Source organism: Homo sapiens, chromosome 3, assembly GCF_000001405.40.
Source record: "Homo sapiens chromosome 3, GRCh38.p14 Primary Assembly".
NCBI lineage: Eukaryota > Metazoa > Chordata > Mammalia > Primates > Hominidae > Homo > Homo sapiens.
The window spans coordinates 140,517,498-140,538,327 of NC_000003.12; the positions used below are offsets into that span (position 1 = coordinate 140,517,498).

The 20,830-nt window shown below is 42.2% G+C and overlaps 1 protein-coding gene across 2 annotated transcripts in view, besides 1 other annotated feature; it reads left to right on the top strand.

The window, feature by feature from the left end:
- Positions 1-20,830, top strand: part of CLSTN2 (calsyntenin 2) — a 642,213-nt gene that overhangs the window by 582,313 nt on the left and 39,070 nt on the right. For both annotated transcript variants that reach the window (NM_022131.3, XM_017007022.3), the window contains exon 9: positions 14,827-14,989. In NM_022131.3, coding sequence (NP_071414.2) covers positions 14,827-14,989 — 163 coding nt within the window. The remainder of the gene's footprint in view (positions 1-14,826; positions 14,990-20,830) is intronic.
- Positions 3,952-4,453: an enhancer, noted in NCBI's record as "H3K4me1 hESC enhancer chr3:140240291-140240792 (GRCh37/hg19 assembly coordinates)". NCBI's record gives its function as "activates a minimal SCP1, AML or CMV promoter by ChIP-STARR-seq in naive H9 embryonic stem cells {active_cell/tissue: H9 hESC(naive)}" and the evidence as "EXISTENCE:reporter gene assay evidence [ECO:0000049][PMID:30033119]".

The following is a 20,830-nucleotide window of genomic DNA, read 5'->3' on the forward strand; positions in this document are numbered from 1 at the left end:
TCCCAAGGGGTACTTCCTTGATGTGGAACTTTCCCCCTTCCCCTAGGGATGTGGCTTCTTGAGAACCAAATTGCAGTGATTATTATTTTTCTCCTGGATCTAGCCACCCAGCAGAACTACTGGGCTCCAGGCTGGTACTGGGGAGTGTCTACAAAGAGTCCTGTGATGTGAACCGTCTTCAGTTCTCTCGGCCGTGGACACCAGTATCTGCTCTGGTGGAGGTGGAGGGGAATCAGGTGGACTCTGTTAGGATCTTTGGTTGTGGCTTTGTTTATTGTACTAATTTTGTGTTGGTTGACTTCTAGCCCAGAGGTGGTGCTTTCAAGACAGCATCAGCTGTGGTGGTAATATAGGGAGGATCAGGTGGTGGGTGAGGCCATAGAGCTCCCAAGGGATTATTTCCTTTGTCTTTGGCTACCAGGGCAGGTAGAGAAAGACCATCAGGTGGTGGCAGGGTTAGGTGTGTCTGAGCGCAGACTCTCCGTGGATGCGGCTTGCTGTGGCTGCCTTGGGGGATGGGGTTGTTCTCAGGGGAATTATGACTGTCTCTCCTGTGTCACGCAGGTCACCAGAGAAGTAGGGAAAAGCCAGCACTTACAGTCCTCACCCAGCTTCCATGTAGCCCAAAAGGCCAGTCTCACTTCCACCATACTTATCCAACAGCACCGAGTTTATTTCCAGGCAGTGGGTGAGCTGGGCTGAGAACTAGCCCCAGGCTACCAGCCTGCCAGCTGAGAAAGCAAGCAGGGCTTTCAGGATTTATGCCTTCCCACCTGTAGCAACTTCTGTGGTGTGTCTGCACTCCTGATTCACTCTCACCTCCAGGAAACTTTGCATTCAGGTGAAATTGTTACAAAGTTCAGCTGGAAATTTCCTTCTTCCTGTGGTCTATTCCCATTTCCTCTGGCAGCCCTCCCCAAGAACCCCTGTGAGACAAAGTCAGAAATGGCTTCCCTGGGATCTTAGAGAGCCCCCAGGGCTCTTCCCCCTACTTCTCCTACTCCTGTTTTTCACTTGGCTCTCTAAATGTGTCTCAGCTTCAGGTAAGGTCAAATCCTTCTCTGGTGATCTGGACATTCAGGTTCCCCAGTAAGGGTGTAAATCCAGGGGCAGATGATTCCTTTTCACACTTTTACACTTTGGGAAATCACAGTTTTTCAGCTGTCTCCAGGGGCCTGCAGCAGGAATCCACTTCCTTCAAAGGGTCTGTGGATTCTCTCGGCTTTCCTGGTATGTTCCTGTGGGTAGTTCTTGGAGCAAAAGTTCACGACGTGAGCCTCCACATGTCGCTCTGTCTGTCCAAGTGGGAGCTGCAAGTTAGTCCTGCCTCCTATCTGTCATTTTTATTCTGAGTCCTGATCTTTATTTCTTGTCTTCTGCTAGCTTTGGAGTTTGTTTGCTCCTGGTTCTTCTAATTGTGATGTTAGGTTAACTTGATATCTTTCTAGCTTTTTGATGTGGGCATTTAGTGCTATAAATTTCACTCTTAACACTGCTTTAGCTGCATCCCAGAAAGTCTGGTACATTGTCTCTTTGTTCTCATTAGTTTCAAAAAAACTTCTTGATTTCTGCCTTTATTTCATTATTTACCCAGGAGTCATCCAGGAGCAGGTTGTGTAATTTCCATGTGATGGTGTGGTTTTGGGTGAATTTTTATATCTTGTGTTCTAATTTAATTGCACTGTGGTCTGAGAGACCGTTTGCTATGATTTCAGTTCTTTTGCATTCACTGAGGAGTCTTTCACTTCGATTATGTGATCAATTCTAGAGGAAGTGCCATGTGGCAATGAGAAGAATGCATATTCTTGAGGTGGAGAGTTCTGTAGATAGCTATTAGGTCCACTTAATCCAGAGTGGGGTTCAGGTCCTGAATATCTTTGTTAATTTTCTGTCTCTGTGATCTAATATTGGTTGGTTAAAGTCTCTCGCTATTATTGTTAAAATCTCTCGCTATTATTGTGTGGAAGTCTAAGTCTCTTTGTAGTCTCTAAGAACTTGATTTATGAATATGGTTCTCCTGTATTGAGTGCATATATATTTAGGATAGTTAGCTCTTCTTGTTGAATTGAACCCTTTACCAGTATGTAATTACCTTGTCTTTTTTTTTCTTTATTGGTTTAAACTAGGATTGTGACCCCTGCTTTTTTCTGTTTTCCATTTTCTTGGTAAATTTTCCTCCATTCCTTTGTTTTGAGCCTATGTGTGACTTTGTACGTGAGGTGGGTCTTGGGAAGACAGCATACTGATGGGTCTTGGCTCTTTATCCAGCTTGCCATTCTGTGTCTTTAAATTGGAACATTTAGCTCACTTACATTTAAGGCTAGTGTTGTGTATGAATTTTATCCTGTCATCATGATGCTAGCTGGTTATTTTGTAGACTCGTTTATGTGGTTGCTTTATAGTGTCACTGGTTTGTGTACTTCAGTGTTTTTTGTAGTGGCTGGTAATGGTTTTTTCTTTTGATATTTAGTGCTTCCTTCAGGAGCTCTTGCAAGGCTGGCCTGATGGTGACAAATTCCCTCAGCATTTGCTTGCCTGAAAAGGATCTTATTTCTCCTTCACTTATGAAGCTAACTTTTGCTGGTTCTGAAATTCTGGGTTGGAAATTCCTAAAGAATGTTGAATATTGTCCCCCAGTATCTTCTGGCTTGTAGGGTTTCTGCTGAGAGGACCACTGTTAGTCTGATGGGTTTCCCTTTGTAGGTGACCTGGCCTTTCTCTCTGACTGCTGTTAACATTATTTTTCTTTCATTTGGACCTTGGAGAATTGTATTAGTCTTTTCTCATGCTACTATAATGAACTGCCTGAGACTGGATAATTTATAAAGGAAAGAGATTTAATTGACTTACTTACCATTCCACATTGCTGGGAAGCCCCCAGGAAACTTATAATCATGGTGAAAGGCAAAGGAGAAATAGGCACCTTCTTCACAGGGCAGAGTCAGTGCAGGCAGGGAAAAGGCTGGATGCCTCTAAAACTATCAGATCTCATGAGACTCACTCACTATCACAAGAATAGCATGGGGGAAACAGCCCCCTGATCCAATTACCTCCACCTGGTCCCACCCTTGACATGTGGGGATTATCGGGATTATAATTCACGATGAGATTTTGGGTGGGGACACAGCCAAACCATATCAAGAGTCTTGGGTTGATCTCATGGAGTATCACCCTGGGGTTCTCTGCAGTTCCTGAATTTGAATGTTTGCCTGTCTTGCTAGGTTTGGGAAGTTCTGGATGATATCCTCAAGTATGTTTTCCAAGTTGGTTCCATTCTCCCCGTCCCTTTCAGGTACCCCAATCAATCATAGGTTCTGTCTCTTTACATAATTCCATACTTTTTGGAGATTCCATTCATTCCTTTTCATTCTATTCTTGTCTGCCTGTCTTATTTCAGAAAAATAGTCTTCAAGCATTGAGATTCTTTTTTCCACTTGGTCTATTCTGTTATTGATACTCATGATTGCACTGTGAATGTCTCATGTTGTGTTCCTCTCTAAACTGGCTATCAGCTCCCATATCGTTTTATCATGATTTTTAGCTTTTTTGCATTTTTTTTTTTTTTTTTGCATTGAGTTACAACATGCTCCTTTAGCTCAGCAAAGTTCATTATTACCCACCTTCTGATGCCTACTTCTATCAGTCCAGCCAAGCCTCAACTCAGTTCGGTGCCCTTGCTGGAGAGGTGTTGCGGTCATTTGGAGGAGAGGAGGCACTCTGACTTTTTGAGTTTTCAGCGTTTTTGCATTTATTCGTTCTCATCTTTGTGGGCTTTTCTACCTTCGATCTTTGAGGTTGCTGACCTTTGAATGGGATTTTTGTTGATGTTATTTTCTGTTTGTTTTTCTTTTAACAGTCAGTCAGGCTACCCTTCCATAGGGCTGCTGCAGTTTGCTGGGGTTCTGCTCCAGACCCTAGTTGCCTCAGTTTTTCCTGTACCTGGATGTATCACCAGTGAAGGCTGAGAAACAGCAGAGATGGCAGCCTGCTCCTGCCTCTGGAAGCTCCATCCTGCAGTTTAGTGACCTGTTGTCAGCCAGAACTGCACCTATAAGAGGTGGCTGAGAACCCTTGTTGGGAGGCCTCACCCAGTCAGGAGGAACAGGGTTAGAGACCTGCTTAAATAAGAAATCTGGCTGATTTTTGGTAGTGCAGCTGTGCTGCATTGTGGGGGACCCTTCCTTGTCCAGACCCTTGGACTCTCCAGAGCCAGCAGGCTATAACAGCTGAGTTGACTGAACCAAAGAAATGACGGTCACATCTCTCCCCAGGAACTTGGTCCTTCTCATGCAGATTCCAGCCTGTCACTTGTGGCTCACTGGAATTCCAAGCCAGTGGGTCTTAACTTGTAAGGTGCCGTTGAAGTGGGGCCCGCAGAATGACACTGCTTGGCTCCCTGGATAGAGCCCGCCTCCTAGGGGTATGTAGGGATTGACATTCCACCTCGCTGGGAATCCCAGGGCCAGCAAAACTGGGTCTCTGTGTTTGCCTGAGTGGCTGCTCTGCAGGGACTCCACACACCTCTGTGAGTCAGACCCGAGACCCTGGTGGCTTGGGCTAATGAAGGGATGTCCTGATCTGCAGGTTGCAAAAATCTGTGGGAGAAGCATGGTTTCCTGGGTGGGATCACTCACTGCTTCCTTTGGCTTCATGCTGTTCCCAGGTGGCTGTCGCCCCAGCCTGCTTTTCTTCATTCCCCACAGGTCGGGTTGTTTGCCTAGTCAGTCCCAATGTGAGAGTCTGGATATTTCAGTTGAAGGTGCTGAATTCAGGCATCACTTTCATTCCTCTCTGTGAGTGCCACAGACCGCAGCTGCTTTTAATTGGCCATGTTGGCCCCCAGGTCCAGCCTCTTTTTACTAGTGTTTAAATTAGTGGCCTGAGGCCGTATGGCCTCGCAAGTCTTAAGAGAATCTGGTTTGCATGGTTCCAATCCTCCTGGTAAACAGCTCTCTGTTTCATGAAATGAAGGTGACCCTTCAAATATGTCCTTTGGAGCAGGGGCTTTTGCAGTTCTGTCCATTGTCATCTAAACTGAACACACAATAAGGCTGTTGGAGTAAAGAATGGCTTTCTAGAATGCAAGGCACTAAAATAAGGTAACACACTCCTTACTGTAGCATGCTAGTCCGCTAGAGCCCAACCTCACCTCCAGCCACACATCTTTCAAGGATATTTGTTGGAATTTATCATTTTGTCATACAATCTCATCTATCTTCAGATTCACTAATTTTGTTCTCAGCTTTCTCATTTATATTTAACTTATTGATTTATTTTTATTTCCTTTCTGAAATTTTTATTCAGCTCTTTTTCAAACCTGCTTTCCCTGTTCCCTTTCAAACTGCTCCTGTGGTTCCTGTTATGTGAGTTTAATCATTTGCTGTGTTTGCTATTATTTCTCAGACAGGCAAAGGGTTGTTTCTTCTTTGTTTTGTAATCTTTCTTTTACTCTGAGCTTATCTCTAGTAGTAATTGTCTAACACATGCCCTAAGCTGTAAATACATCTGTATTGAGAGGTTTTGAGTTTGTCTTTGCTCAGTGCCCTAAAGACTTCAAGGATGCATTTTTAGGTTTGTTTCTCAGTTCAGGATTTCTACGGCATGTGAACTGTGTGCATTTGGACTTGATGCCCATGCACAGAGCAGGCCTGGGCGTCTAACTTCTCGGAGGTGACTTATTCCAAAGTGGTTGTCTGGCTTACTCCCTGCATCCCTCGGGCAGTGGCAGTGTTTATTCTGGGACCCGAATTCAGACAGTCCTTTGAAGCTTCAGGCTTTATGCAGACATCCCATCTCAAGTTTTCTTTGTGTAGAGAACTTAGGTTTCCATTCTTGCTACTCATGGACTTTAAAACTCCAGCTGAGGCAGTAGGCCACAGCTCCTCAGCAGCCACTCAGTTTCAGCCCCCCAGTGCAGCTATGCTTTCCTTGTTTTTGATTCCTGAAGAGTTCTCTTTCCAGCTTTTTTATTTTTGTTTTCTTCTGTTGTTAATGTTATATTATATCCAGCATCTCAATTTATTTGGAAAAGGAAAGCAGTCCCCTATCCAGTCAGGCTGAAAATATGTGCTAAACATTGTATATGCCTTACTTAGCTCAATTCACACAACAAACCTATGCATAGATACTATTATTATCCTCACTTCACATGTGAGGCTCCCAAGGATTAGAAGGGTTCCCTTATTTTCCCAAAGTCAGAACATGATTCCCTAGAAATTCATGAAGCAGCTGTGATACCCAACTCATTACCCAAAGACTTGGCCTGTACCAATCCCTTTTGCTATCCTGTCTGTCTCATTCTGTGGTTCCTCAAACCCCAGGGCAGCTGGTCACTTAGCAGACTGTTCGCTCTGTTCAACCACACTCACATCAAAGCCCTCTCATTATTCTCCTGCTACAAATGGTCCTCTTCCCCTGTTCAAATCCTTTCTGTCTTGCAATAGCCTGTCTCAGACTCACTTTCTCAATCAGTCAACCCTCCATCCAACTCTCCCTCTCTAGTGGGTATTGTAAGCACAGATCAGGAATGAGGGGAGAATAGATAAGACGAAAGCATTATCAGAACTGTGCAGTAAAGGAAGTGGAGAAAGAGTAGGGGAATTCAAAAGCAATGGCAGTATTCTGGCTTGGATAACAGATTGCATGAGGGAGTGTTTACTGAGGCCAGGGATCACAGGAGAGGGAGCAGGCTAGGCTGTAGCATGGGAAACACTGAACTCAAACTTGGACACAGTGTGTTTGAAGTACCTGTAGAACATCCAAGTGGGGCAATTTGGAGATACTCTGACATGCAAGTACACCATTTAGAAGATGATTCTCTGCTCAAGATCCTGATTTGGAAGTGAGCATGTGAAGCTGACATTGGTTACGTGTGAAGTGAAAATATAAGAGGCCATATGTGGAAGCCCACAGTGGTGTGTATGTTAGTTCTAACTTACAATAAGATTATATGTTCCTTGAGTTAAGATATCACGTCATTTCAGCCACACAATTGTGAGGGACTTCAACAGCCCACTGACAGTGTTAGTCAGATCATTGAGGCAGAAAACAAACAATAAAATTCTGGCATTAAACTAGACACTTGACCAACTGGACCTAAGAGACATCTACAGACTACTCCACCCAACAACCACAGGACATACATTCTTCTTATCTGCACATGGAACGTATTCTAAGATCAATCACATGCTCAGTCATAAAGCAAGTCTCAATAATATAAATACAAAAAAATCAAAACCATACTAAGCACACTCTCAAGACTGCAATGCAGCAAAAATAGAAATCAATACCAAGATCTCTCAAAACTGCATGAAAACATGGAAATTAAACAACTTTCTCCTGAATAACCCTTGGGTGAACAACAAAATTAAGGCAGAAATCAAAAAATTCCTTGAAATTATTGAAAATAGTGACCCAACTTACCAAAGTCTTTGGATGCAGCTAAAGTTGTGTTAAGAGGAAAGTGTATAGCACTAAAATGCCTTCATTAAGAGGTTAGAAAGATTTCAATTTAACAATCTAACATCACACCTAGAGGAAGAAGGGGAGAAAAAGAACAATCCAACCTCAAATATAGCAGAAGAAAAGAAATAACTAACATCAGAGGAGAACTGAACAAAATTAGACCCAAAAGTCCATACAAAAGATCAATAAAACCAAGAGTTGCTTTTTCGAAAGAATAAACAAGATTGATTGAGCGCTAGCTAGATTAACAAATACAGAGAGAAGATCCCAACAAACAAAATTGGAAATGACAAAGATGACATTACAATCAATCCCACATAAAGCAAAAGATCCTCAGAGACCATTATGAAAACCTCTCTGCATATAAACTAGGAAATCTAGAGAAAGTGGATACATTCCTGGTAACGCACAATCTCCCAAGATTGAACTAGGAAGCACGTGAAAACCTGAACAGACAAATAATGAATTCTGAGATTTTAAAAACCTACTAACCAAAAAGAGCCCTAGACCAGATGGATTCACAGCCCATTATCAGATCTGCAAAGAACTGATACCAATCCTACTGAAACTATTCCAAAAAATTGAAGAGAAGGAGCTCCTCCCTAACTCATCCTGTGAAACTAGCATCATTCTGATACAAAAATCTGGCAGAGACACAACATAAAAAGAAAGCTTCAGGCCAATATCCATGATGAACATAGATGTAAAAATCCCCAATGAAATACTAGCAAACTGAATACAGCAGCACATCACAAAGTTAAGTCGCCACATTCAAGAAGGTTTTATTCCTGGGATGCAAGGTTGATTCAACACATGCAAATCTATAAATGTGATTCACCATGTGAACAGAATCAAAAACCACACAATTATCTTAATAGATGCAGAAAAAGCCTTTGATAAAATCCAACATCCCTTCATGATAAAAACCTTCAACAAACTAGGCATCAAAGGATCATATCTCAAAATATTAAAGGCCATCTATGACAAACCCACAGCCAACATTATACTAAATGGAGAAAAGCCCAAGAGGAACCTTTCCCCTTGAGAACTAGAACAAGACAAGGACACCTATTCTCACCACACCTATTCAACATGGTAGTGGAAGTCCTAGTCAGAGCAATTAGGCAAGAGAAAGAAATAAAATGCATCCAAATAGAAAAAGAAGTCGTCAAACCATCTCTCTTTTCAAATGATATGATTCCTTACTTAGAAAACCCTAAAGACTCTGCCAAAAGGCTCCTGAAACTGATAAAGTTTCAGGATACAAAATTAATGTACAAAAATTAGTAGCATTTCTATATGCCAATAATGTTCTAGCTGAGAACCAAATCAGGAACACAATCCCATCTACAATAGCCACAAAATAAATGAAATACCTAAGAATTCGTCTAACCAAGGAGGTAAAAGATCTCTGCAAAGAAAACTACCAAACACTGCTGAAAGAAATCAGAGATGACACAAAGAAATGGGAAAACGTTTCATGCTTAAGGATTGGAAGGATCAATATCATTAAAATGGCCATACTGCCCAAAGCAATTTATACGTTAAATGCTATCCCTATCAAAATACCAATGTCATTTTTTACAGAATTAGAAAAATCTACTCATAAATTTATATGAAACAAACAAACAAACAAAAAAAAAAAACAACCACAGCAATACTGAGCAAACAACAACAACAACAAAAAAAAAACTGGAGGCATCACATTACTCGACTTCAAATTATACCATAAGGCAACAGTAACAAAAACAGCATGGTACTGGTACAAAGACAGACACATAGACCAATGGAACAGAATACAGAACCCAGAAATAAACCTGCACATCTACAGCCATCTGATCTTCAGCAAAATAGACAAAAATAAACAATGGAATAAGGACACTCTATTCAATGAATGGTGTTGGGATAACGGGCTAGCCATATGGAAAAGAATGAAGCTGGACTCCTACCTCTCACCATATACAAAAATTAACTCAAAATGGGTTAAAGATTTAAATATAAAACCCCAATTATAAAAATCCTAGAAGAAAACCTAAGAACTACCCTTCTCAACATCAGCATTGGCAAAGAATTTATGGCTAAGTCCCCGAAAGCAATTGCAAGAAAAACAAAAATTGACAAGTGGGAGCTAATTAAATTGAAGGGCTTCTTCATAGCAAAAGAATTTATCAACAGAGTAAACAGCCTACAGGATGGGAGAAAATATTAATAAACTCTGCATGTAACAGAATTCTAATATCCAGAATCTACAAGGAACATAAATCAACAAGCAAAAACAAATAATCTCATTTAAAAATGGGCAAAGGATATGAACAGATTCTTCTCAAAAGAAGATGTAAAATTGGCCAACAAAAATATGAAAAAAATGCCCAACATCATTAATCATCAGAAAAATTCAAATCAAAACCACAAAGAAATATCATCTCATACCAGTCAGAATGGCAATTATTAAAAAATCAAAAATAACAGATGCTGGCAAGGCTATGGAGAGAAAGGAATATACTGTTAGTGGGAATGCAAACTAGTTCAGCCACTATGGAAAGCAGTTTGGAAATTTCTCAAGGAACTTAAAACAGAATTACAATTTGACCCAGCAATCCCATTACTGGATATTCAGAAGAAAATAAATTGTTTTACCAAAAAGACACATGCATTTGTATGTTCATCGCAGCACTGTTCACAATAGCAAAGACATGGAACCAACCTAGGTGCCCATCAACAGTGGGCTGAATAAAGAAAATGTGGTACATATACACCATGGAATACTATGCAGCCATAAGAAAGAATTAAATCATGTCCTTTGTGGCAACATAGATGGAGCCAAAGGCCATTATTCTAAGCAAATTAACACAAAAAAAGAAAACCAAATACCGTATTTTTTCACTTATAAGTGGAAGCTAAACATTGGATACCCATAGACATAAATATAGGAATGATAGACACTGGGACTAATAGATGGGGGAGGGAAAGAGAGGGGAATGGGTTGAAAAACCACCTATTGAGTATTATGCTTGGGTAGTACTTGTGTGATAGGATCATTTGTCCTCAGAGTCACACAATATACCCATGTAACAATCTGCATATGTACCCCTCAATCTAAAATAAAAGTTGAAATTATCTTGAAAAATAATGTCATTTCTTTCTCCTTAATTTTCTAATAGTGCCTAAGACAGAATTGGTCCTCCTATTTTATAGGGTTGTGGTGAAGATTAAATAGTATAAGGAGGAATAGGAAAAGCTGCTTCAATACTGAAAAGCATGTTCCAAGACTGATGGATTGTTTTTATGACTATCACCCGCTTCTCCCACCTAGAAGCCTCCAGATCTCCCATTGCCTACAGAATAAAAGCAATCCAAGTCCTCAGTTTCAGATCTCTCCTTGCAGCCTTATTGCACACTCTTCACCTTTTGCAAATGCAGCCTGACAACCCCAAACTCTGTCATCCTCATCTACCTCAACAGGGTTAACATGGCACCTTGCACAAATCTGTGCTGGATATGAATCCCGATCTGTTATAAGCCTTTTTGTCAATTCCATGGCTGGACTATAAGCTCCATAAAGGCGGGTGCTTTTTTGTTCACAAAGTAGGACGTGCATTTAGTAAATGTCTGTAGGAGTTAACGAATGAGTGAATGTGTATATCTTTATATGTCCCCAAACCTAGTGCCTCTGACAAAAAAAAGATGAATGAATAGAGGAATAAGAGGTTTCTGCTTCATTGCCTTAGAATTTATTACTTGCCATCTATTCCTAATGAAATATTAACAGTTCTTCAATATCCACCCTAAATTCCACCTTCTCCAAGGTGAGAAGAATCTCTCCATTCCCTGGGACCTCACAGTGCCTTGCACCTGGTCTACAACACTTATCTCAAGTTTCATTACATTTGAAGATTTTGTGTACTTGATACAGCCCCTCCATTAGATTGAAAATCTTGAAAGCAAAGGACCTATCTCATAACTTCTGTATCTCTTGCAGCACCTAGTAGACATAATAGTTGACAGATAGTAGTTGGTAGGTGAATGTATCTTATGTTGAATAGCTGCATTCAAAAACACCTGATTTCCTGAGGAAACCAAGGCAGAACTTCCAATTTGGCCACTTATATAACACTTGGATCAACCAGTCAGAAACTACACAGAGAACCTCTCACCTGATTTTCTCCTCCTCATCTCATGGGAGGCTTCCCTGGCCCCTGACTCACACTGAAATTCCAGCACACTCCTAACTCAGACCTCCTTTGGCGTTGTCCCTGCTACCCTTCCTGAACGTGTATCCCTGGGTCTCTGGTCTCTGAGTCACTTACCAGCTATGCTGCAGCTGCCTGCCGTGGGAGTACATCTGCAGGTGTCCAGAGATTCATGTGTCTTTGGACTAGGCAAGGCCTCAGGCATCATTCTGGGGGATGGTGTCAGACATTCTTGGAGCTTGGACATACTTGGTGCGGCTGGATACACCAGTGATTCATGAACAGTCGGGAATTGAAGTTCTTCTCTCCCCCAAGGAAAGGTCACTTTGCTGAATTTTCTTCTTTCTTGGTTGAACTATGCATTGACACATTTATTTTAGCTGCCTCCTGGCTTGATCATTTTTCAATTACAGTTTGTCCCTGCAGTTCTAGCAGAGGGTCAATGTAGGTCTCTTCCTGATCATAGATCCACATTTATAAAACCCTAATTAGGCATTTCCTTTAGCTGCTGTCACAGATTACTTGGTGGAAAAACTCTGCAGGCATAAGCTTTGTATGAGCTAAAAGATTGTTTAGACGCCCAATTAGGAGCTCACTGGGGCAGCTCCCAAGCATTCCTACCTTTGACTCTTGGCTGAGGCTGTTCTTCACACCAACAATGCTCTCCCTGTTGATGTTGGAGAATATAAATCTTGCCATCTTTTGTGACCCATATTAAAATGAGATAAAATGTGTCCCTTTTATAGTAACAGGATTTTTATTTATTTTTTATTACTCAGTGTGGCAAGGGTGCCATGCATAAGCTCTCTTAACCTCTGTGAGTAGGAGTATAAATAGGCGTAACCTTTGCAGAAAAAAACATTGATAATATGTATCAAGAGTCTTAAAAATACCTCCAGCCTTTGACCCAGTAATTCCATTTCCAGGAATCTTTCCTAAGGATATAATCAGAAATGCAAACAAATATTTATACACAAGAAATTCATTATAATACCATTTATAATAGCTGTTACATAATTAATATCTGGAAATAAGTATAGTATATAGCCATATTACACAGCTACTTAAAATGAAATTTTTAAAGGCATTTTAGTGCTGATGCTACATGAAATATGCAAACTCTCAAATTCTTATGCAGTGTGATCCAAATAGACCTTTCCCAGCTGTTGTTTCACGGATGTTTATAGGAATGCTATAAATAGAAAAGTTCTATTTTTCAGTAAGGTTGAAAAGTTATTATAGTTTGAGAATCACTGTTTTTATGCTGCGCATCATGGGGGCTGTTGTTCAATCTAGCATACTTTGGAAGAACTGGAGAAAAAACACCTAGGAAAAACATTGTAATGTTGAGAGGGGATGCTGCTACTGTTGAGTTATAGAATTACTTCTTCTTTGCAATTGTTTATGTTGTCCTACCAAAATGCTAAGTGTTGTAAATGAAATAATGCCAGAGGATTATTCTCCATCCAGCTTCAGCAGATGTGGATTGCTGTAGAGCCAGCTAAAGCACATGGATTCAACATGCCAGTCACACAGAGAGGATGGTCACCGTGAGGGCAGTGATGGAGGCCAGGATGGGGGAGCCCCCAAGTGCTGTCTGGTTGGTTCTTGGCACTCTACCTACATTCCACAGGGCATGGGGTATGGTCAGGGTTACCTCACTGTCACCCACTTCCTCCCTGCCCAGGGCCTGACCAGAGATTTCCAGATACCTCTGGGAATATCCTCAGGATGTGAACCGCATTCCAGGTTACCTCTGTTGCTTGGCTATCCTTGATTGCAAACCCCAAGCCCAGGGTGCTCCTACCTCTTTGGGTTCGGTGCTTGATTCAGATATGTAGTTCTCTACTAGTCTATCAGCCCTGCACTCTGTGTTCAGGTCTGCCTGTGTGCCACCTGTATGTCTTGGGGTCACCCCACCCCAATAACAGGCCTAGCTTGAGAGCCCTGCACCCAGCCCAGGGTTTGGTCCAGGGCACCGAGCATGAGGGGAGTGGAAACTGGGTCAGGACCTCTCACTGAGTATAACAGAACTTCACAGAGATCTGTCTGGACCCCTCCTGCTTACCTTCCAAAGTCCCCTAAAATATTCATCAGGCTTTATCAGACTAATGGGCTTCAAAAGGAGCAGTTTTCTGAGACATGAGACAGGACAATATAAAAAGAACATTAATGAAAAAAATCTTATTTCAAACTGAAAGGAGAAAGATTATTTAGCATCCCTGTTGGTGTTATCTGTTCATGAGAAACAGCATATTTAATCAAGCATGGAATTGTAGGGAGGGCTTTGATGCCCTCACCTTGGGGTCACCTTCATTCAGAACTCATCTGTCTCCTCTGCCACAGATGGCAGAGTCGATGGAGACAAGAGGATGCAGATGAGAGACATTTCAGAGGGGTCCTCCACAGGGTGTGGGGGGATTAGAGGGAGCGTGAAGGAGAGTCCAGCATGACTCCCAAGGCACTTGCTTAGGGATAGGACCGGGGGTGGCATCGTTCTCTAGTCTTGCCACCTTTCATGCCTCCCATCTCCCTTTCCAAGACATGCCCATCTTGGTTTCTATCTTGTCTCATGCTGTATGAGTTCATTCCCTTGAGGTTAAGAATTGTGACTCTCTTCTAGCCCCCCTGCATCTCCACTAATCCACTAAGCTGCCTTCTGTAGCCCTGGGCACTTGTGGTTTCCCAGAACAGAGGGTTTGGGGATTAAACAAGTTGTGTGGGTATAAAGTGAGATCCTTGGTTCCTGATCAGCCTAGCAATAATCAGAGCCAACTGGAAATTTTGACACAAGATTCCCAGCCCTGAGACCAGGAGTCTTGGGTTTAAAAGGTTGTGAAAGGGTGCCCTGTACTGAGTCCAGGCCAGTAGGACCCACTTGTGGTTCTTCTCTGCCTCCCCAGGTGCACCATGGTAAGGCTGAAAATCTCCCCATCATCCACTATCTGCCTGATATCGGATTCTTGGGTGTTTCTCTTTCCCAGTTTGCCCCATCATGTTTGATGACAAGCTTCTATAACTTCAGTGTATGTCAACTGTTATATTCCTTGAGTGCTTTGCAATAAAAATTGTTGACCCAAAAATGTGTTGTTCTCCTTTCATAGAGTAAAAGCCTGTTTGATGTTTTATTACATATTCAATTTTAAATGTTGCTTCTCTTTCCTTTTCTTAGATTTGTGACAAAGAGTGGCACTACTATGTCATCAATGTGGAGTTTCCTGTGGTAACCTTATACATGGATGGAGCAACATATGAACCATACCTGGTGACCAACGACTGGCCCATTCATCCATCTCACATAGCCATGCAACTCACAGTCGGCGCTTGTTGGCAAGGTAATCCTAAGTGAAACCCTTTTCTCTGACCTGTTTGTGAATAGTTCTTGGAAGATACTTGTAGAGAAAAAGGAAAAGCAAGTGGTGTGAGAATAGTCTAGAAAAATTACTACCCCTTACAAAAAAAAATTCAAGACATATAAAAATAAGTATAAATCTACAAACTAAACGTATTGTATAATAACAAGCTTAAGGCCAGATTTTGATTTTTAGATCGACATGAGCAGTTTCATGGTTGTCTCTGAGTTTCTAATGTATTTTATTATTTTGAAGTCTTATTCATTTCCAAACTGGGGCAATGCAGAGAAAAAAACAGTATAGAATCTTGTGTTCAAACTTCTGGTTGGCTCTGATGAGTGCTAGGCTGATCAGGAACCAAGGATCTCCCTTTATCCCCACACAAATTCTTTAAGCCCCAAACCCTCTGTTCTGGGAACTCACAAATGCCCAGGGCTTGCCCAGAGCTGTGGAAGGCAGCTTGTCCACAAGCCACAAGGCCACAGAAAGCCACTCTCAAGGTCAGCTCAGCCCTCAGTGCCTTCCCTGGCATCTAAGGACAGAGGCCCTTTATGCCTTCCCACTTGAAGGTATCTGCCCCTTCCTCTCTTCTTGTGCTGTTGCCTCTCTCCTAATCCCCAAACCCAGGCTAATCTCCTTGGGATCAGGAAACCCGGCTCTCCAAGCATGCGTGTGATCTTTCTGTCTCTCACTCAGGTCTGCTGGAGTCTTTGTTTCAGCTCCTTTAAGGGCTGGGTATGCTTTGAAGTACCAGTAAGAGAGCAGAAGGATATGAAAATGCTCCCCAAATAAGCAGATTAGTACTTTGAGATGTGGCACAACCTTGTGTTGATGGATTCTGTGAAAATTACCAAGATTTGTGACTTTGACTCTTCACCATGAGGGGCTGGGGATAGAGGTGGGCTATAGTATAAGAATATGCCGGCCGTGCACAGTGGCTCACGCCTGTAATCCCAGCACTTTGGGAGGCCAAAGCGGGCAGATCACGAGGTCAGGAGATCGAGACCATCCTGGCTAACACGGTGAAACCCCGTCTCTACTAAAAAATACAAAAAAATTAGCCGGGCATGGTGGCGGGTGCTTGTAGTCCCAGCTACTCGGGAGGCTGAGGCAGGAGAATGGCATGAACCCGGGAGGTGGAGCTCGCAGTGAGCCGAGATCGCGCCACTGCACTCCAGCCTGGGCAATGGAACGAGACTCCATCTCAAAAAAAAAAAAAAAAAAAAAAGAATATGCCTTCAGAAGACCAACTGACCCATGAGTGAACTAGGACTGACACATGCCCCTGTAGGTTGGACAAAGTGAGTTATGGGCAGCTCCATGTAAAAGAAGATGAAAAGGAGTACATACAGTGCAGCCTGGAAGCACTAGAGATTCAAAACCCAGGAAGGAGATAAGGTATAAATGAGGCAAGAGAAAGTGTTCTTGAGCTGAGCCCACCTACTTGATGTCTCACTTGTGTCACATGATAGCAAAATGTTTATTAAATATTTCAGTAGAGCTTGGCAATGAGAGTATCTTCAGTTGCAGGCTCCCCAGAATGCCAGGTAGACCGTGTCACATGGCAAGAGTTCATGAAACTATTTAGTATAGCAGGGCAGTGATTCAGAGGTTGCGCAGGAATCAATAACACTGAACACAACTATGCTAGAGAAATGTTCCCCTGGTGTGGCTTAGTGCCCTAGCCAGACACACTCCAACCAGCCTGTGGGTGTTATGGAACATAGCCTGGATAATGCCCCTAAGAAAACATTGCCCTAATCATGTCCCCTTCCATGTTACCATGCTTCTTCTCAAGAGCCCCTCAGAAACCACATTTGAATCCCTGTCACCCCAGTGTGCAATGGAAACCCACCCCCATGTCTGCAAGGCCAGCTACAGCAACTGCTGCTGAGTTACATGCCTACTGCCCAGAGTGGGGAAGTAGCCCCACAAAATAAAATGTGATTTTATAAGGAACTAAAATCAATAAGAATAAGTTAAGTTGCACTGCAATGACAACAAGCCCCAACTCTCAGTTCCTAAAATAATTCTCACTTCATATTTACTGAAAATCAATGAGGGCTCTTTTCCGCCTTATCCACAGTCAGTAGACAGAGCAGCCACATTGCATGGCTGGATATGTAGCAAGAGGAAAAGAAAACATGGCAAATCGTGCACAAACTCTTAAAACTTCCACCTACAAGTGATGCCAATAATTTTTATTCATATTTTATTGGCCAAAGCAAGTCAGAAGGCCACATCTAACTACATCAGGGCAAGAAAGTGAAATCTACACTGTATCTAGAAGAAAAATTGAAAATATTGTATTAACATTGATGAACACCACAGTTTGTCCACCAGGCCAATAGATATTTGTTTGGCTCTCTTTCCCACGTAGAAAATACTCCCATCCTTCCTTAAATGGGACATGCCCACATTCTCACTTCTTTGTGGTTCCAGGCTCAATGTCCAAGCTTTCCGAGTGATTTCTAGTGATCGCCTCATCAGGGTGAGATGCACAGAGGCCTACAGCAGGCCACATAGTAGCTGCACTTGATGTGGAGACCTATATACTAATAGGACAAATTACTTTCCACCAATGCAACCACCATGCCCTCCCCACCAACACACACACATTCATGCATCTGCATATGTGCACGTGCACACATACCATACAACAGTAGAATGAAGCAGACCAACCAGAAAACTCTTTCACTAAGAGGGAGAAATACAGCAGTCTTTGGTCCATAGCAATTCTGAAATCCCTTGGGGCAGATGTTATAAGGGCCCCTCCCTTAGGGTGGGAAATATTATTTGTGGCCCTTTATTCCATTCCCCGGAAGATATTTCCTTCCTTAGTATCCTTCTAGGCTACATCTGAAGAGGACATTGTCACTCCATAAATAGCTGCTCTACTATTGTATCTCATTACAATTTATTTAAAAGCCATTCCACAAAAATGATTTCAAATGGGAAACCCAAGTATACATTGACTTTCAAAGAACACAGTAGAAAGAATGATGACAAGGGTGTTCACCAAGTATTTTTGGTCCTTTTTCCAGATATACGCTAGGACTGATCTCCCTTAGAGTTAGGTGTGGTCATGGGACTTGCTTTGGCAAATTAACTGTGAGCAGAAGTGCCTTATGTTGTTTCCTTATGGAAACTTTAAAAGCTGTAATTGCAAGGAGGCCCTTTATACACATGGGGTGTTCACAGTTCTGAAATAAAATGTTATTCGTCACAATTTGTAGATAAGGAAACTGAGGCTCAGAGATGAAGGGGTTTACCCAAAGTTGCTCAATTGAATATGCCCAACCTCAAGCCTCCAATGCCTATGCTCTTTTCACTGTGTCTCACTGCCCTCTATTGCTAATTGGTCATTTTGCTTATGTAATTATGTCTGGAAAAAGGCAGGAGCTAATGTGTACTGATACAAATGCTACAAACCCTTTAACTCCTGAGACATATGACAACCCTGTAATAAATTTTTAAAAACACACAAGAATGCTGCGTTCCCCTTACTAATCTTTTAAAAACACACAAGAATGCTGCGTTCCCCTTACTAATCTTTTATTATGTAAAACCTAAGTGACCAACCAAGGAACAATAAAAGAGTTTCAGCTTTGGGGTTAAAAAAAAGTGACCTCAAATCAAATCCCAGCCTTGCCATCTACTAGCTGTACGGACCCAGCAGTATCCTTAACTTCCTGGAGCTTGTATTTTATTTTTAATCTATGAAATAAGAGTAAGACCCACCTCACAGAATTCCTGTAAGGACTAGATGCTAGGCACATCTAGTGTGCTTGGCATGTTTTGCTTGAATGATTGTGTAAATTTTAGAACATCTCCCTGTCCCCCTGCCTCCTCCACAACCTTCTCTGAGCCTCTCATCTAAGACCAACACTGTAGACAATCTGCAAGACCATAGCATGATCTAGTTTCTGTGGCCCTGGCTTTCCCATAGCTCCTTGCATGCACTGACTTTTTTCTCCTTCCTCAGGACTAACCCTCACATATAGACCCTGATGACCTCACAGGTTCACTGATGGTCAGAAAGGTAAATGAAGCTGGAAAATAATCAGAAGACAGGTATTGGAAGGTGGGGCTTGAGATGGAGATAGGAACCTTATCATGCAGTGTTTTAGGCCATGGGAAGATTTGAGTATTTTCTCTAGAGAAATGACAACCCATTGGTGAATTTTCAGCAGAGGAAAAATTCTTAAGATCTTTAAAATTGGGCTTTATAGAATGTCTAACAGTTCACTAGGAAGGTAAGGGAGGCAACACCATATGCTATGGCAGGGAAGTTTGGCATCCGTGTATTCAGGGTTCCTTATCACTGGAATGTACGTGAACCAGAAAGAGTGGAATCTGGGACAAGGAGATGAGACCAAACCCTGGGACACCACACTGCTTTGTTAAAGACCTTGGATTCCCACAAATATTCACATCCTCCTTGAAGCCACATTTTTGTCTTAGATGAAAATATCAAAAGATCTTTCAATAAGACCTGATGCTGTGAAATTAATGGCCTATGATGCAGCCCTTATCTCTGCATGTTTCTAAACCTTCTGAAGTCCACTTATATACATAGTATAATCTCTCTGTGTGAACCTTTAATTGCCTTTGGGCTTGCAGTTGTGGGGAGTGTTTCAGGTGCTTTTGAGGTTGGCAAGGGAACTAGCTCCCATTTGTGAAATTTCAGACGAGGCTTTAACAATGGAAGTAGAAAATGGTTTGATAGCAGCTGCTTGTTGGGATCTCCTGGGAACTGGCTCTAGCACTGTGGCTGGTCAGTGTTCTGCAGCCCTAATTAGACAACTAGTCCTATTAGCCAATTTGAAAGCCAAAATAAACACTGAGACTTCATTTCCATTAGTATTTATTCTAGCAATGAAAAAAAAATGGGACTTCATTTACAGTTAAGAAATGTTACCGGAAAGGCCTACAGCATGTGGCATCTCTCAATTGTAGGGAAAGGCCTGTGCAGTCGGGATGAACCTAGCATCACAAAAGAGGTCCCCTTCCTCTGTGTAGCTGTGGCTAATGCACACCCCCTTGCTATCATTTCTGTGTCCAGGATGACACAATATTCAGGATGGAGGCAGACCCTCTCCCATGGCTGAGCTCACCCAGTGCTGAGTCAGATCCTCCTGGCTTTAGACAAATACCAGGTTCTTTATTTCTCTCTGGGTCACAACGTAAAAGATCATTTAAAAGACTAAATTAATTTGTCCTTTTCCTTAGATTTCCTACTTATCCCATTTATAAGAACAAAAATTCAAGTTCTACTCATAAACAATAAAAATTGTATACTCACATCTGCCTCAATCCTGGACCTCTAAACTGGTCCTGATCACCTGGGTACTATAACCCAGCTGTGCAAGGGAGTGAGTCAGGTAGGCTGCTGGTTGTGCCAGACCAGTGCCTTAAGGGAGCCCTGGGGTTTCCAGGAGATGCTGCAGCACGTGGAGGTCCAGGGCATCTCTCCCCGTGCCATGACCAGAGCAACTCTGTTTTACCTATTTTGTGTTAGCCGTTAATGAAATGGCTAAGCATGTTTGAAGAACTACAGTTCTAAGCACTTTCTCACAAAGCTACCACCCTGCTCCTTGCCTGATCCTCATCTATTCTTGGTGGAGATCTCATCTCAGGGTAGGCTACCTGTGACTCCACTCTAGTGATTGCCTCAGCCCCTGTCTCTGTCAGGGGACTCTCCTCCAGTGTCATGGGTTGTAACCTTCCTAGAGTGTCCAGCCTTGCCTATGATACCTCCCTCTAGTCTTAGATAAGGAAGCCTTTCTACCCTGGATCCTGGTCTTGCTGAATCCTACCCTC